At 36.4% G+C, this 17299-nt stretch overlaps 1 protein-coding gene across 33 annotated transcripts in view; it reads left to right on the forward strand.

Moving 5' to 3' along the window:
* USP53 (ubiquitin specific peptidase 53) overlaps window positions 1-17299 on the forward strand; it is an 82918-nt gene that overhangs the window by 37713 nt on the left and 27906 nt on the right. For 27 of the 33 annotated variants that reach the window (XM_017008313.2, XM_047415829.1, XM_047415828.1 and 24 more), the window contains 6 exons: window positions 5933-6046; window positions 6128-6210; window positions 9507-9612; window positions 10194-10340; window positions 11402-11551; window positions 17007-17169. In XM_017008313.2, the coding sequence (XP_016863802.1) occupies window positions 5933-6046; window positions 6128-6210; window positions 9507-9612; window positions 10194-10340; window positions 11402-11551; window positions 17007-17169 (763 nt within the window). The remainder of the gene's footprint in view (window positions 1-5932; window positions 6047-6127; window positions 6211-9506; window positions 9613-10193; window positions 10341-11401; window positions 11552-17006; window positions 17170-17299) is intronic. The other 6 variants (XM_047415830.1, XM_047415832.1, XM_005263075.4 and 3 more) reach the window with 1 other exon arrangement.

Consider the following 17299-nt stretch of genomic DNA (forward strand, 5'->3'; position numbering starts at 1 on the left):
AACCACCCAATCCATTCTCTGTAGAATTTACTCTGTAGAATTCATTTGGCATTTTTATATTATTAATCACCTTTTTAAAAATGAGCATCTTCATGGTTTCCTTAGATGGAAAGCTCATTGACTAGCATCTTGCCTAGCACACTTGCATGTTGATTAAAATGTCAATAATGGCACACACAGTAATGAAATATACTTTCCATATTTCTTCTGTTTATAATTGATTTTTTGCTTAAAACAAATATATTTTGAACAATGCTAAACTTTATAGTTTTACTTTCACTTAAATGAATTATTCTAATACATGATATGATAATTCACAAAATGTCTAGAAGTCTAGGCTTAAATTATTAAATGGTCTTAAATATCCTGGGGCAGAGGAGAGAGAAGTTAGCTAATGAATAGAATCCATTGGTTAAGCTTTGGTAAAAAGAATTATGTTAAAGAAATAAATGCCCCTTATTGATCTATATTGTAAATCAATATTTATATGAAATTCACTGCAGATTGCATTGCCTGCATTATGGTGTTAGTGTAGATATAGAGCCTTTGTTTTGCTGTTATTTATACAGACTACCTAGATGATTCAAGTAGGATTTTTTTTTTTAATTATACTTTAAGTTCTGGGTTACATGTGCAGAACTTGCAGTTTTGTTACATAGGTATACACGTGGCATGATGGTTTGCTGCACCCATCAACCTGTCACCTACATTAGGTATTTCTCCTAATGTTATCCCTCCCCTAGCCCCCCACCCCCCACAGGCCTCAGTGTGTGATATTCCCCTCCCTGTGTCCATGTGTTCTCATTGTTCAACTCCCACTTATGAGTGAGAACATGTGGTGTTTGGTTTTCTGATCTTGTGACAGTTTGCTGAGAATGATGGTTTCCAGCTTCATCCATGTCACTGCAAAGGACATGAACTCATCCTTTTTTGTGGCTGCATAGTATTCCAAGGTGTATATGTGCCACATTTTCTTAATCCAGTCTATCATCGATGAACATTTGGGTTGGTTCCACGTCTTTGCTATTGTGAATAGTGCCACAATAAACATACCTGTGTATGTGTCTTTATCCTAGAATGATTTATAATCCTTTGGGTATATACCCAGTAATGGGATTGGTGGGTCAAATGGTATTTCCAGTTCTAGGTCCTTGAGGAATCTCCACACTGTCTTCCACAATGGTTGAACTAATTTACACTCCCATCGACAGTGTAAAAGCATTCCTATTTTTCTGCAACCTCTCCAGCATCTGTTGTTTCTTGACTTTTTAATGATAGAGTTTTCTAAATATACAATCATGTCATCTGCAAACAGAGACAATTTGACTTCGTCTCTTCCATTTTGAATACCCTTCATCACTTTCTCTTGCCTGATTTGACTTCATCTCTTCCTATTTGAATACCCTTTATTGCTTTCTCTTGCCTGATTGCCCTGGCCAGAACTTCCAATACTATGTTGAGTAGGAGTGGTGAGAGAGGGCATCCTTGTCTTGTGCCGGTTTTCAAAGGGAATGCTTCCAGTTTTTGTCCATTCAGTATAATATTGGCTGTGAGTTTGTCATAAATCTCTCTTATTATGTTGAGATACATTCTATTGATACCTAGTTTATTGAGAGTTTTTAGCATGAAAGGCTGTTGAATTTTGTTGAAGGCCTTTTCTGTATCTATTGAAATAATCATGTGGTTTTTGTCATTGGTTCTGTTTATGTGATGGATTACATTTATTGATTTGTGTATGTTGAACCAGCCTTGCATCAGAGGGATGAAGCCCACTTGATCATGGCGGATAAGCTTTTTGATGTGCTGCTGGATTCGGTTTGCCAGAATTTTATTGAGGATTTTCACTTTAATGTTCATCAGGGATATTGGCCTAAAATTCTCTTTTTTTGTTGTGTCTCTGCGAGGCTTTGGTATCAGGATGATGCTGGCCTCATAAAATGAGTTAGGGAGGATTCCCTCTTTTTCTATTGATTGGAATAGTTTCAGAAGGAATGGTACCAGCTCCTCTTTGTACCTCTGGTAGAATTTGGCTGTGAATCCATCTGGTCCTGGACTTTTTTTGGTTGGTAGGCTATTGATTATTGCCTCAATTTCAGAACCTGTTATTGGTCTACTCAGAGATTCAACTTCTTTCTGGTTTAGTCTTGGGAGGGTGTATGTGTCCAGAAATTTATCCATTTCTTCTACGTTTTCTAGTTTATTTGTGTAGAGGTATTTATAGTATTCTGTGATGGTAGTTTATATTCCTGTGGGATCGGTGGTGATATCCCTTTATGATTTTTTATTGCATTTATTTGATTCTGCTCTCTTTTCTTCTTTATTAGTTTTGCTAGTGGTCTGTCTATTTTCTTGATCTTTTCAAAAACCAGCTCCTGGAACCAGTGATTGTTTTGAAGGGTTTTTTTGTGTCTCTATCTCCTTCAGTTTTGCTCTGAACCTAGTTATTTCTTGTCTTCTGCTAGTTTTTGAATTTATTTGCTCTTGCTTCTCTTGTTCCTTTAATTATGATGTTAGGGTGTCAATTTTAGGTATCTCCTGCTTTCTCTCGTGGGCATTTCATGCTATAAATTTCCTTCCACACACTGCCTTAAATGTGTCCCAGAGATTTGGGTACATTGTGTCTTTGTTCTCATTGGTTTTAAAGAACATCTTTATTTCTGCCTTCATTTTGTTAGTTACCCAGTAGTCATTCTTGAGCAGGTTGTTCATTTTCCATCTAGTTGTGCGTATTTGAATGAGATTCTTAATCCTGATTTCTAATTTGGTTGCACTGTGGTCTGAGAGGCAGTTATTTCTGTTCTTTTACATTTGCTCGGGAGCGTTTTACTTCCAATTATGTGGTCGGTTTTAGATTAGGTGCTGCGAAGAATATATATTCTGTTGATTTGGGGTGTAGAGTTCTGTAGATGTCTATTAGGTCTGCTTGGTCCAGAACTGGGTTCAAGTCCTGGATATCCTTGTTAATTTTCTGTCTTGTTGATCTGCCTAATATTGACAGTGGGGTGTTAAAGTCTCCCATTATTATTGCGTGGGAGTCTAAGTCCCTTTGTAGAAATCTAAGGACTTGCTTCATGAATCTGGGTGCTCCTGTATTGGGTGCATGTATATTTAGGATAGTTAGCTCTTCTTATTGAATTGATCCCTTTACCATTATGTAATGGTCTTCTTTGTCTCTTTTGATCTTTGTTGGTTTAAAGCCTGTTTTATCAGAGACCAGGATTGCAACCCCTGCTTTTTTTTTGCTTTCCATTTGCTTGGTAGATCTTCCTCCATCCCTTTATTTTGAGTCTATGTGTGTCTCTGCACATGAGATGGGTCTCCTGAATACAGCACACTGATGGGTCTTGACTCTTTATCCAATTTGCCAGTCTATGTCTTTTAATTGGGGCCTTTAGCCCATTTACATTTAAGGTTAATATTGTTATGTGTGAATTTGATCCTGTCATTATGATGTTAGCTGGTTAATTTGCCTGTTAGTTGATGCAGTTTCTTCATAGCGTCAATGGTCTTTAAATTTGGCATGTTTTTACAGTGGCAGGTACCGGTTGTTCCTATCCATGTTTAGTGCTTCCTTCAGGAGCTCTTGAAAGGCAGGCCTGGTGGTGACAAAGTATCTCAGCATTTGCTTGTCTGTAAAGGATTTTATTTCTCCTTCACTTAGGAAGCTTAGTTTGGCTGGATATAAAATTCTGGGTTGAAAATTCTTTTCTTTAAGAATGTTGAATATTGGCCCCCACTCTCTTCTGGCTTGTAGAGTTTCTGCAGAGAAATCCACCGTTAGTCTGATGGGCTTCTCTTTGTGGGTAACCTGACCTTCCTCTCTGGCTGCCCTTAACATTTTTTCCTGCATTTCAATCTTGGTGAATCTGACAATTATGTGTCTTTTGGTTGCTCTTCTCAAGGAGTATCTTTGTGGTGTTCTCTGTATTTCCTGAATTTGAATGTTGGCCTGCCTTGTTAGAGGTTGGGGAAGTTCTCCTGGATAATATCCTGCAGAGTGTTTTCTAACTTGGTTCCATTCTCCCCATCACTTTCAGGTACACCAATCAAACATAGATTTGGTCTTTTCACATAGTCCCATATTTCTTGGAGGCTTCGTTAGTTTCTTTTCAGTCTTTTTTGTCTAATCTTGTCTTCTTGCTTTATTTCATTAATTAGATCTCCAATCACTGATATACTTTCTTCTGCATGATTGAATCGGCTACTGAAGCTTGTGTATGCTTCACGAAGTTCTCGTACTATGTTTTTCAGCTCCATCAGGTTATTTAAGGTCTTCTCTACACTGTTTATTCTAGTTAGCCATTTGTCTAACCTTTTTTCAAGGTTTTTAGCTCCCTTGCGATGGGTTAGAACATGCTCCTTTAGCTCGGAGAAGTTTGTTATTACTGACCTTCTGAAGCCTACTTCTGTCAACTCTTCAAACTCGTTCTCCGACCAGTTTTGTTACCTTGCAGGTGAGGGGTTGTATTCCTTGAAGGAGAAGAGACATTCTGGTTTTTGTAATTTTCAGCCTTTCTGCTCTGCTTTCTCCCCATCTTTGTGGTTTTATCTACCTTTGGTATTTGATGTTGGTGACCTACAGATGGTGTTTTGGTGTGGATGTCCTTTTTGTTGATGTTGATGCTATTCCTTTCTGTTTGTTAGTTTTCCTTCTAACAGACAGGCCCCTCAGCTGCAGGTCTGTTGGGGTTTGCTGGAGGTCCACTCCAGACCCTGTTTGCCTGGTTTTCACCAGTGGAGGCTGCACAACAGCAAATATTGCTGCCTGATCCTTCCTCTGGAAGCTTTGTCCCAGAGGGGCACCCGCCTGTATGAGGTGTCTGTTGGCCCCTAATGGGAGGTGTCTCCCAGTCAGGCTACACAGGGGTCAGGAATCCACTTGAGGAGGCAGTCTGTTCGTTATCGGAGCTCAAACGCCATGCTAGGAGAACCACTGCTCTCTTCAGAGCTGTCAGGCAGGGACATTTAAGTCTGCAGAAGCTGTCTGCTGCCTTTTGTTCAGATACGCCCTGCCCCTAGAGGTGGAATCTAGGGAGGCAGTAGGCCTTGCTGAGCTGTGGTGGGCTCTGCCCAGTTCAAGCTTCCCTGCTGCTTTGTTTACACCGTGAGCAGAGAACCAGCTACTCACTCCTCAGCAAGGGCAGACACCCCTCCCCTCAACCAACCTCCCGCATCCCAGGTTGATCTCAGACTGCTGTGCTAGCAGTGAGCAAGGCTCCGTGGGTGTCGGACCCGCTGAGCCAGGCACGGGAGGGGAACTCCTGGTCTGCTGGTTGGTAAGACCGTGGGAGAAGCTCAGTATTTCGGCAGGAGTGTATGGCTCCTCCAGGTACATTCACTCACAGCTTCCCTTGGCTAGGAAAGGGAAATCCCCTGACCCCTTGTGCTTCCTGGGTGAGGTGATGTCCTGCCCTGCTTTGGCTCGCCCTCCGTGGGCTGCACTCACTGTCCAACCAGTCCCAATGAGATGAACCAGGTACCTCAATTGGAAATGCAGAAATTACCTGTGTTCTGTGTCAGTCTCACTGGGAGCTGTAGACCGGAGCTGTTCCTATTCAGCCATCCAGGATTTTTTTTAAAGCTATCTGTTTTTTCTTCATTTGAGAATGTTGGGAACACAGGAAACTGTTTTCTAATATTAAATTGTAGATGTCAGTCACCATGGGTTTTTAGAAGGATTAAAAATAACTTTATTAAAGATCATGTTATAATGTTTGTTTAATTAAACAACATTTTCTTTCAAGCTAGTGCTATAAAAGGTGAATAATTGAACATTCGATCAAAGTGTTGATTAGAGAGGAAAGCTGAAAAGCTAACAATATGTATGACACTCTTAAATTTATACTTTGGATAATCTGCAGGTAAAGAGTTATATTTTGCTGTGTTCCCTGCAAGATCAACAACTCATTTATCTATTTTATTTTTAAATTAGGAAAATATGTTGGAGAGGATTCATTTTCACATAGTGCCAAGCAGAGATGCAGACATGTGTACCTCTAAATCTTGTATCACTCACCAGAAGTTTGCTATGACTCTGTATGAACAGGTGAGATGGCTTGATTATTATTTAGATATTGTAGTTCTGTTTTATGATTGATAGATTAAACATATGTTTTTACCTATATAGTGTGTGTGTCGTAGCTGTGGAGCATCGTCAGATCCTCTACCTTTTACAGAATTTGTGCGGTACATTTCTACAACAGCCTTATGGTAAGAACCTATTAAAGCTTAATTATCAACGATATTAATAACATATTTAAGCACATTGAGCACTTATTTTATAAAATCATAGCATACATGAATTTCCCCTCTCTGTCTGAGGCTACCAAGTATGCTGCTGTGAGATGTATTAAGTGATGTCTATCAAAGTTGGATGTTTGTAATTTGGCCTAATATATGTGTTACTTAGTGAAGTGTACATAATACTAGTTAAATTTTATATCTATTTAATTTATAACAAATTTTAGAACTGTGAAGGGGAGCATGAAATGATAAACTGAATGTTAAATGGAACTATACATGGTTGCTTCATTTATGAGATGTTCTGTTTGTAATGGCCATATTTTCAGTCAGCTCCACTATGTCCCTTTCTGGTGATAAAAGCTAGGGTAAGCGGAGAAGAAAGAAAAATGTGAGCGTAATTCTCAGGTTATTGCATTTGAGGACTCATCATTCACTTTAAATAAAAAATTTGCCATGCTTGCCTGCTCAGCTGCCCACTCACTCTCTCCCTTTCTGTCCATGAAAGATTAGCTCGTTAAGGATCTAAAAGTTATCCCTAGACCTTACATAATGTTCTTTGAATATTTTCCAACAGGTATTTGAAAGTATAAATATTTGGCATGTGGCTGGGCACAGTGGCTCATGCCTGTAATCCTAGTACATTGGGAGGCCAAGGCAGGTGGATCACCTGAGGTCAGGAGTTCAAGACCAGCCTGGCCAAGATGGTGTAACCCCGTCTCTACTAAAAATAAAAAATTAGCTGGGTGTGGTGGCGGGCACCTGTAATCCCAGCTCTTCCGGAGGCTGAGGCAGAGAATTGCTTGATCCTGGGAGGTGGAGGTTGCAGTGAGCTGAGATTGCGCCACTGCACTCCAGCCTGGGTGATAGAGCAAGATTACGTCTCACAAAACAGCAACAACAAAAAAGTTGGCATGTGGTAAACATTGAGTAAGATCATAAACATTTGCATACATTTTAATACAAAATACATAATATGGATCAATAATTATCAGTCAGAATATGTTAGTGCAACAGTTGATAAATGCTGCCAATATTTGTGTCAGTGTGCAAAGTAAATATCATGTTTATTCATTTCATATTATTTATCTTCCTGGCTTTATTGAGTATAAAATGTTATTTCATAAAGATTATTGAATAATAACAATTTCGTTATTTGGGTGTGTTTACTATCTTTCTTACATTTACAGACAAGTGAAAAACACTGATTTAGAGAAACATTCCTAAACTTCAGTCAAATTGTAGTCAGTCGTCAGTCATTTTTTTAAATTTCTATGAAAAGTAGGATGGTGTTCAAAGATAGACAATAAGTTAAAAACTAAAATTTTAATTCTACTTTAAAACTCTTGAATGAAATGACAGTGTTCTGAGGCAGAATGTTAGATAATAAGAATTACAGCCCCATCATTCTCTGCTTGGTAAACACTGCAAGTTGCAGGAGTGCACGCTTTGAATTCTAATTATAATATCCTTATTTGTATTGGTAATCAGTGTTGAATACCAGTTACTGAATGCTTACCATGTTCCAGGCTTTATGTTAAGTTGTTGCTTTTAATCTTAACCAAAATTCTATTTTGTTGATGAAGAAATAGGTTTAATGAGGTTAATCTAGTAAGTGGATGAATTAAGATTGAAACCCAGATCGGTCTGACTTCAAAATTTTTCTGGCTAACCACTACTCTAATGCTGTCAGTTTTGTAAAAGCAGTATATGCAATTTGAATGAGCTTATCAGATTTAGGGCTTTCTAGTGTACTCTTGAAGTGTTTGGATGGGTACATTTAGTTGTTACCAAATACTTGGAGATTATTTAAACTATTGAACTGTAAAATATATCCAGCTCTAGAATAGTTATATTACTGTTAAGTACAATCAGAACATCTAGAATGGAAACTAGTTAGTGTTTCAGCTTACATTACATTCCTTTTTGGAAATATTTAAATAGTTGTTTAAGTATTAGTCTGTTCTCATGCTGCTAATAAAGACATACTCAAGACTGGGTAATTTATAAAACAGAGAGGTTTAATTGACTCACAGTTCTATGTGGCTAAGTAGGCCTCACAGTCATGGCAGAAGGCAAGGAGGAGCAAAGTCACATCTTACATGGTGGCAGGCAAGAGAAGAGAATGAGAGTCAAGCAAAAGGTGTTTATCCTTATGAAACCATCAGATCTTGTGAGACTTATTCACTACCACCAGAACAGTATCGGGGAAACTGCTCCCATGATTCAGTTGTCTCCAGCTGGGTCCCTCCCACAACACGAAGGAATTTTGGGAGCTACAATTCAAGATGAGATTTGAGTGGGGACACAGCCAAACCATATTAGTTACTTAATACCCTGATACATAAAAATATGTCTTTTAAGGAGGTTGAATAAAAAGTATCACAGTTACCCTGTAGTGTATTAAAAGGCCTGCCTGGGCTCTAATAAAATGATTAGTATCCTGGCTGAGCTCAGTGGCTCACGCCTGTAATCCCAGCACTTTGAGAGTCCGAGGTGGTTGGATCACTTGAGGTCAGGAGTTCAAGACCAGCCTGAGGAACATGGTGAAACTCCATCTCTACTAGAAATACAAAAATTAGCCAGATGTGGTGGCACGTGCCTGTAATCCCAGCTCCTCAAGAGGCTGAGGCATGAGAATCACTTTAACCTGGGAGGTGGAGGTTGCGGTGAGCCAAGATTGCACCATTGCACTCCAGCCTGGGCGATAGAGTGAGACCCCATCTCAAAAAAAAAAAAAAAGGGGGGGGAGTAATATTCAAAATAAGAACAAAAGGAGTAAGTCTGGCTTTAAAATCTTTGGTTGTGACTTCTGCATTTAATCAGCAAAGGACCTTCTCCTAGCTGAAATTGATAACATTGCTCCTAGGAACTTTGGGCTAGAGAGGGAGCCTTTCCTACAGTTTGTTGTTCTTGTTAGGGTAGGGTTTAAACTTAAGTTTCTACTCATTAAGTAATAATACAAATAAAACATTTGCCTTAGAATTACCTCCAGACAGAGCATGTTAGCCTCATTTATCTAGTTCCAAACATATAATTTTGTGTTACTTTGTTTTCTTTATTTGAGCTAATTTTTTTCATTATATACTTGCCAAATTTAATAATTTTTCACTTTATGGAAATGTACTTTATGGTTAATTTTTCAGTCATGGTCATGTTTTAGATAGAAAAAGTGATGCACATCTAAACTGACAATATTTTTCATGTGTAATTTATTAAAGTTTTAAGTTCATAGGCCAGATTTGGGATTGCTTCTTTTTTTGTAGCAATGAGGTTGAAAGAATGTTGGAAAGGCATGAACGCTTTAAACCTGAAATGTTTGCAGAATTGCTACAAGCAGCAAATACAACAGATGACTATAGGAAATGTCCTGTAAGTATAGTTTGGAGAATATTAGTATGCTTCTTGTTTTGTAGATTTGAAAATAGGCATTCAGATATTATCATGTAAATATTGATTCTATATCTAGAATTAGCTTTAAGAATTTTTAAAAAATATTATTTTAGATTATACCATGTGTATCATTTATCTTAGCATAAATTGTTTAAAAACTCCTAAGTTTGTGAAGCATATATTGATTAAATTTTTTCAAAGTTCTGAAATTTATCATTTGATTACAGAGAAAGTTTCTTTTCAGTAAACTTGATGAATGATGAATGATACTCTTTTCTCATCTAATATATTTGTTACTGACTTCAAGAGTTTTATTTCTGCTTTTTTTTAGGTTGAATTCTTACTTTAACAGATTTACAAAATTATCAAAGAATACTTTTATTTAAAATAAACTTCTTTTTTAATCAATAATTAAGACAAACAGCTTGTTAGAAGTCAATTTTTAGTATACTGAATAAATTGCAGATATGTGTTAAAATTGTCATTATATAATGCAAACTGTGTAAGGCTGCCTGGTTTATCTGTTTTCATAATTTTAAAACTTTTATGTTTTTCTGTAGAGTAACTGTGGCCAAAAAATAAAAATTCGCCGTGTTTTAATGAATTGCCCAGAGATTGTTACAATTGGTTTAGTCTGGGACTCCGAGCATTCTGACTTGACCGAAGCTGTTGTTCGGAATCTAGCAACACATCTTTATCTTCCTGGGGTATCTTATCTATTTTCATTCCCTTCCCTTTTATTTTCAAATTCTTCTAAAACATCATCCTGATGTTTTATCTGATAACGACAAGTTTAATCAAATCAGGCTAACTGGAATGCCTTTACTACATAGACTAGGAATGGCTTTCAATTACAAACTAAACTGTCTCATGGCTTTTGCTTCTTTCACTCTAAAATCATGATGATTGATGATTTTTTATGTATGGCCATGATTGTAAATATAAATATTGTTAACTTAGAAAGGTTTAATATTTAAAATTCATCTAAAGCACTGATCTCTCTCTTTTTTTTTTTTTTTTTTTTTTTTTTTGCGGCAGAGTCTTGCTCTGTCACTCAGGCTGCAGTGCAGTGGTGCAATCTTGGCTCACTACAACCTCTGCCTCCCAGGCTCAAGCAATTTTCATGCTTCAGCCTCCCTAGTAGCTGGGATTACAGGCATGCACCACCATACCCAGCTAATTTTTTGTATTTTTAGTAGAGATGGGTTTCACCATGTTAGCCAGGCTGCTCTCGAACTCCTGGCCTCAAGTAGATCCACCTGCCTTGGCTTCCCAAAGTGCTGGGATTACAGGCGTGAGCCACCACACCCCGCCATGATCTCTTGTTATGCTTGTTACTTTCTTGGTATATTTTGATTTGGTTCATGTTACAATTAAAGTTTTGGATAATTATCTTTTAGATAATATGTTTAATGAACATTCAAATATGTGATTCAGTCAAGAATTACCAGAAATGTGGAATTTATCTCATATTTTGAATTTCTTTATGAAAAGTGTCAGTCATGTGTCATTAGAGATACTCTATTATTGCTAAACTAATTTGTAGTGAATTCGTTTTATTGGACTTAAAGTTTTATGAATGAATTAAAAGTGGTAATTCTGTTAACAATGTGATGTCAGTGGTGCCTTCAAGTAATAATATAATATTAGATTGGGGCAGTATGCATGAGAAATATTTCATTATGTGTCAAAGACATGATTCATCTAATTATTCCTCATTTTACAAAAGATGTAGTGTTAAGTGTACATTACCAATTTTTTTAAACAGCTTTTTTATAGAGTTACTGATGAAAATGCCAAAAATAGTGAACTTAACCTTGTTGGTATGATCTGCTACACCAGCCAACATTATTGTGCCTTTGCATTTCACACCAAAAGTTCCAAATGGGTATTTTTTGATGATGCAAATGTGAAAGAGGTAAGTGACACTTTCTTTAATTGAAATAATTACTGTGATTTTTACTTTTTGTTAATAAATGATATATTGATATTAATATTCAAAAGGATGATATAATTAATATGTAAAATAGTAATAAATGAACATGATGATAGCATCAGTAAGTTCAAACTTTCTTTTGTTATTCTTGAAATTGGCTTATTTTGAAGCCAGCTTTTAAACCAGTCCATTTCCAGAATAATAATAAGTAAACTAATGAATATTAGTATACAAATATGTAACTATCAGTGATCTGTGTGTCAGTGATGATCCTTTTTGCCTGACGCATACTTGCTATATTTACTTTTTTGTGGATGATTCACAGTAGTTTTGTATAACTAGTGATGAAAATATGCTTGCCTTTATTTTTATTATGACAATTTTTTTCAAATTTTGTGTGTAGAATACAGAAATAGATATATCAGTTATATCTTTTGGTAATTACAGTTGACCCTTGAACAACATAGGAGTGCCAAGCCCTCTGTGCAGTTGAAAACCCACATACCACTTTCGACTCCCTCAAAACTTAACTGCCAACAGCCTACTATTGACAGGCAGCCTTACCAAAAACATAAACAGTCAATTAACACATATTCTGTATGTTCTATATATTATATACTGTACTCTTACAGTAAAGTAAGCAAGAAAAAAAGTTACTTAGAAAATTATAAGCAAAAGAAAATATATTTACCACTCACTAAGTGGAAATGGATCATCATAAAGGTCTTCATCCTTGCTGTCTTCACGCTGAGTAGACTGAAGAGGAGGAAAAGGAAGATTGCTTTTGCTGTCTTGGGTGACAGAGGCAGAAGAAAATTCACATATAAGTGAACCTGTGCAGTTCAAACCTGTGTTGTTCAAGGGCCAACTGTAATTTGTTTACTCAAATAGTAATAATATTGTCTAGAAAAGTAGTGAATAGTAGTTCTTAATAAGGAGTATTGGAATCACGAGGAGCTTTTAAAAAAACATATATTCCTGGATTCCTAAAGTTTTGATTCAGTGGTGTAAAGCCAGGTATCTGAAATTTTAAGTTCTACAGGAAATTCAGACATAACACAGTTGAAAATTATTGGTCTTGTCAAGGCTTACTGGCTTTGGCAATCTTTATTAAGTAGTAAACTCATTTAAAAATACAAGTTCTTTGGTTGTTATAAGCAAATGATGTAGAATTCTATTTAGTTCCATTTTATTAATATATAACAAAAGGCCATTTATCAGCACTGTGATTAAGACAATACAAATTCAAATGTTTGGTATTTAGTGGACTTCTGATTCTACCCATGAAGGATTAACTGCTATAGAAATAGCCATTTCACTGTTTAAAACTAGGACATAGGTGAAACAACTCAAGACATTGAACAACATGCAGTTGAACAGAGAAAAGGGAAACAAATGAGTTCAGCTCTATAATTACCCCCTGCTTACTGCCTAGAGGTAGTTTCTGGGTTGCAGTGCAGGCAGTGGGAGCCCAAACAAAGCCTAGTAGTGTCACTGAGTTCTGGAGACTGAAACTGGAGTTCAGGGAGGCCTAGATGGCTAAAATTTGCAGGACAGAATACTAGAAAGAAAACTGTACAGGGAAAAAGTTCTGGAAATTGACAGAAGGGTTCCTTGGAATTTTTGGCTAAATTGTGATTTGTGCATGTGAGGGGTGAACCCACACAAGTTTGGGGTTAGTTGGGAAAGATGGGAAGCATCACTGGAAAACAAAAGGTAAAACAATTCTCAAAAATCATACAAGGTTAGTAATAGTTTGTATCCCCACCATAAAGAGTGGAGAGATGATATAACATGTAGGCATTAGCTGGAACCTTCAGAAAAGTATTACCTTGATAATGGGGCTAAGTTATTCCTAGGCTGAAGGTTGCTCTGGACCTGATATTAAAAAGCTTAAAACAAGGCCGGGCTGGTCACGGGGGCTCATGCCTATAATCCCAGCACTTTGGGAGGCCAAAGTGGGCAGATCACGAGGTCAAGAGATCAAGAGCATCCTGCCCAACATGGTGAAACCCCGTCTCTTCTAAAAATACAAAATTTAGCATAGTGGCACCCACCTGTAGTCCCAGCTACTCAGGAGGCTGAGGCAGGAGAATTGCTTGAACCTAGGAGGCAGAGGTTGCAGTGAGCCGAGATCGCGCCACTGCACTTCAGCCTGGTGACAGAGTGAGACTCCGTCTCAAAACAAACAAACAAAAAAAGCTTAAAGTCTTGAAAGTTCAAAGCTAATCCCACTTTTAAAATAACAGAACAAAATTCAATACCCAAGACTACAAAGTTCAATGAAATTCAATATGCCACTTCAAAATAGCATTCAATAAAAAATTACCAAATATTCAAAGAACCTGAAGAAAAATTAATAAAAACAGACCAGAAATGACTGAGATGGGACTATCAGGGGAGGATAGTAAAACTACTATTTATATATAGGGATTTCTTAGATAACATTTAATAAGCATGAACCATAAAAATAGCTGGTAAATTAGACTTCATTGAAAGTTAAAATTTTTGTTCTTCAGTAAGATACTATTAGGAGAATAAAATGACAAACCGTATACTGAGAGAAAATATTTGTGAAGCATTTATCTAATAAAGACTGTATCCAGAATATTGAAAGAACTCTTAAAATCCAATTAAAAAATCAGCAAAAAATGTTGACAGTTCACCAATGAATATACATGAATGGCCCTTGAAATGATATTCAGTACATCATTAGCCACAATGGAAATACAAATTTAATTCATAATGAGATTCTAGTACTCATCTGTTGTAATGGCCAAAATTAAAAAGACCAGTAGTTGGTGAGGATAGGAACAGCTGGATCTCTCACACAAGGTTGATGGAACCACAAAATTGAACATTCACTTTCAAAACTGTCAGTTTCTTATAAATTTAAACATATATTTTCCATATAACCCAGCAAATCCACTCCTGTGAAAATGTAAGTCCATGTAAAACGTGTACTTGAATGTTCATGGTAGTTTTCATAATGCCCAAACTAGAAATGACTCAAATGTCAGCAATTGGTGAATGGATGAACAAATTGTGGTATAGCTATACAGTGGAATATAATACTCAGCAAGAAGGACTGAACTATTGAACTGACACATGCAATAATGTGAAAAAATCTCAGAAGCATTATGCTAAGAAGTGAGATATAAATGACTACATGCTATGATTCCATTTATATGAAATTCTAGAAGGAAAAACAAAGGTGTGGAGGGTAGATCACTCATTTCCAGGGACTGCAAAATGGGGTACAAGGTAAGATTTTGGGGTGAGGATTACACAATTGTATTGTCAAAACTCAATGACTTGTACACTGTAACTAGATAATTTTACTTCATATAGTACAACTCAATAAAGCTATTAAAATTTTTTGGTATTTATATTTAAAATCAGCACTTTGCTTGAATTACTTAGTACTTTGATGTAGGAGTTTATTAAGTTTCATCTTGAGTTGATGTGTAACAACATTTGCAGCTTCTACTTTGCTTTTACATAGTTTAAATTGTTCAAAATTTGGAGGAAGAACTGGCTGTATTAATCACCCTGTGAAGTTTTTTATTTTATATTCACATTGACTCCTCAAAGCCTGGCCAACATGGTGAAACTCTGTCTCTACTAAAAATACCAAAATTAGCCAGGTGTGGTGGCACATGCCTGTAATCCCAGCTACTCAGGAGATGGAGTCATGAGAATCCCCTGAACCTGGGAGGTGGAGGTTGCAGTGAGCCGAGACCGTGCCACTGAACTCCAGCCTGGGCGACTGTGAGACCTTTTCTCAAAACAACAACAACAACAACAACAACAACAAAACAAATGGACTCCTCAAGTCTCTTGGAATCCCCAGTGAGGAGGGTAAACAGCTGAATATGTGTAGTTCAAAAAAGCTCATCAGAATTGTTCTTAAAAGTCCCCTTGCCTGCAAAAATATTCTAGAATGCTTTGTGGTGTTTTTGTTTGGTTGGTTTTGTTTTGCTTTTAAATCAATTTTATAGAGGTATAGTGCACAAACATTAAAATACACCCATTTTAAGTGTACAGTTGGAGTTTTGATAAATGTATTTACCTATGTAACTACCATAATCAGTACACAGAACATGTTCATCTGCTAGAAAAATTCTGTCAGGCTTCTTTGTTGTCATACTCCCCACACCACCCCAGGATGAGGAAATCACTGGTCTCATTATAGATTAGTTTCACTCATTCTACAATTTTATATAAATGGTCTCTTACAGTATGTACTACTGTGTATCTGCCTCCCTTCCTTTAGCATAATGTCTTTAAGATTCATTCATGTTGTTTGGATTCACACTTTATTTTTATTGTGTGTTTTATGGCTGTACAACAATTTATCCGTTTACCTGTTGAAGTATGAGTAATCTGTGAACATATTTTTTTCCGTTGCTGTTAGATAATACCTTGAAGTGGGATTTCTGGGTTGTGTGGTAAGTGTCTGTTTAACTTTACAAGAAACTGTCAAATTGATTTCCAAAGTGGTTATACCAATTTGCATTTTATGAGAGCAATGTATGAGAGTTCCTGTTGTTCCACATTCTCAGCAGCACTTCGTGTTGGTATTCTTTTTAATGTTAGCCCTTCTCGTGTATGTATAATATTATCTCACTGTGGTTTTCATTTGCATTTCCCTTGTCATTGGTAATATTTTGAGCATCTTTTCATGTGCTTGTTTGACCATTCTTACATCTTTCTTTTGGTGAAATGTCCAATTTTTTGCCAGTATTTCGCATTGGATTATCTTCTTATTAATGTGTTGTAGGAATTCTTTATTCTGCATACCAGTCCTTTATTAGCTGTATGTTGCTTATTTTTTTTCAATTTCTTAATGGTGTCTTTCCAAGAGCAAAAGTTATTAATTAATTTAGATTAAGTCCATTTTAAAAATATTTTTCTTCTATGGTTTGGTATGCTAAGAAATCTGCCCTTCCCCAAGGTTGCAAAGATTTTCTCTTTTGTTTTCTTCTGTAAGTTTTAGTTTTTGTGTGAGCCATTCTGAGTTCATTTTTTTGTTGTTGTTTTATATGAAGTCAGGTTAAAGTTATTTTTCTCATGGTAAAAGTTCTTTTTCTCCAGTTGTAGCACCATTTGTTGAGCTGACTCTTATATTTCTCCATTGAATTGTCTTGAAGTCTTTGTCAAATGTCAGTCAACCACATATTTGGAAAGCTTTTTAAAATTTAATCACCTTGAAGTTTATAATCTTTGCCCGTCAAATTTTTAAAAGATAATGTTTAAAATATTTTTATTTAGACTAGTTACTAAATACAGTTAATTATATGATACATACTTGAACTACTAGCAGCTGCATATCTAAATTTTTTAAAAATATAAAGTAACTCAGAGTCTGTCTTTTCATGTAACACATTGATTACAAGGTTTTGTTTTGTCTTTATTCATTGTGTTTTTTTAAAAGATTGGAACTAGATGGAAAGATGTTGTCTCCAAATGCATTCGATGCCACTTTCAGCCACTACTTTTGTTTTATGCAAACCCAGATGGCACAGCAGTTTCTACTGAGGATGCACTCAGGCAGGTCATCAGCTGGTCACATTACAAATCTGTTGCAGAAAATATGGGTAATTCTTTCTTTTAAAAATTCTCAATGTTTTTCTATTATCACAGTCAACTAGGAATACTAGTACTCTGAATATAAAATGAATATAGAGGATAATTTCAAATTTGACTTTCAGTAGAGCTGAGGAAATT

The sequence above is a fragment of the Homo sapiens genome, chromosome 4 (genome assembly GCF_000001405.40).
Source record: "Homo sapiens chromosome 4, GRCh38.p14 Primary Assembly".
In the NCBI taxonomy this organism is placed as follows: Eukaryota; Metazoa; Chordata; class Mammalia; order Primates; family Hominidae; genus Homo; species Homo sapiens.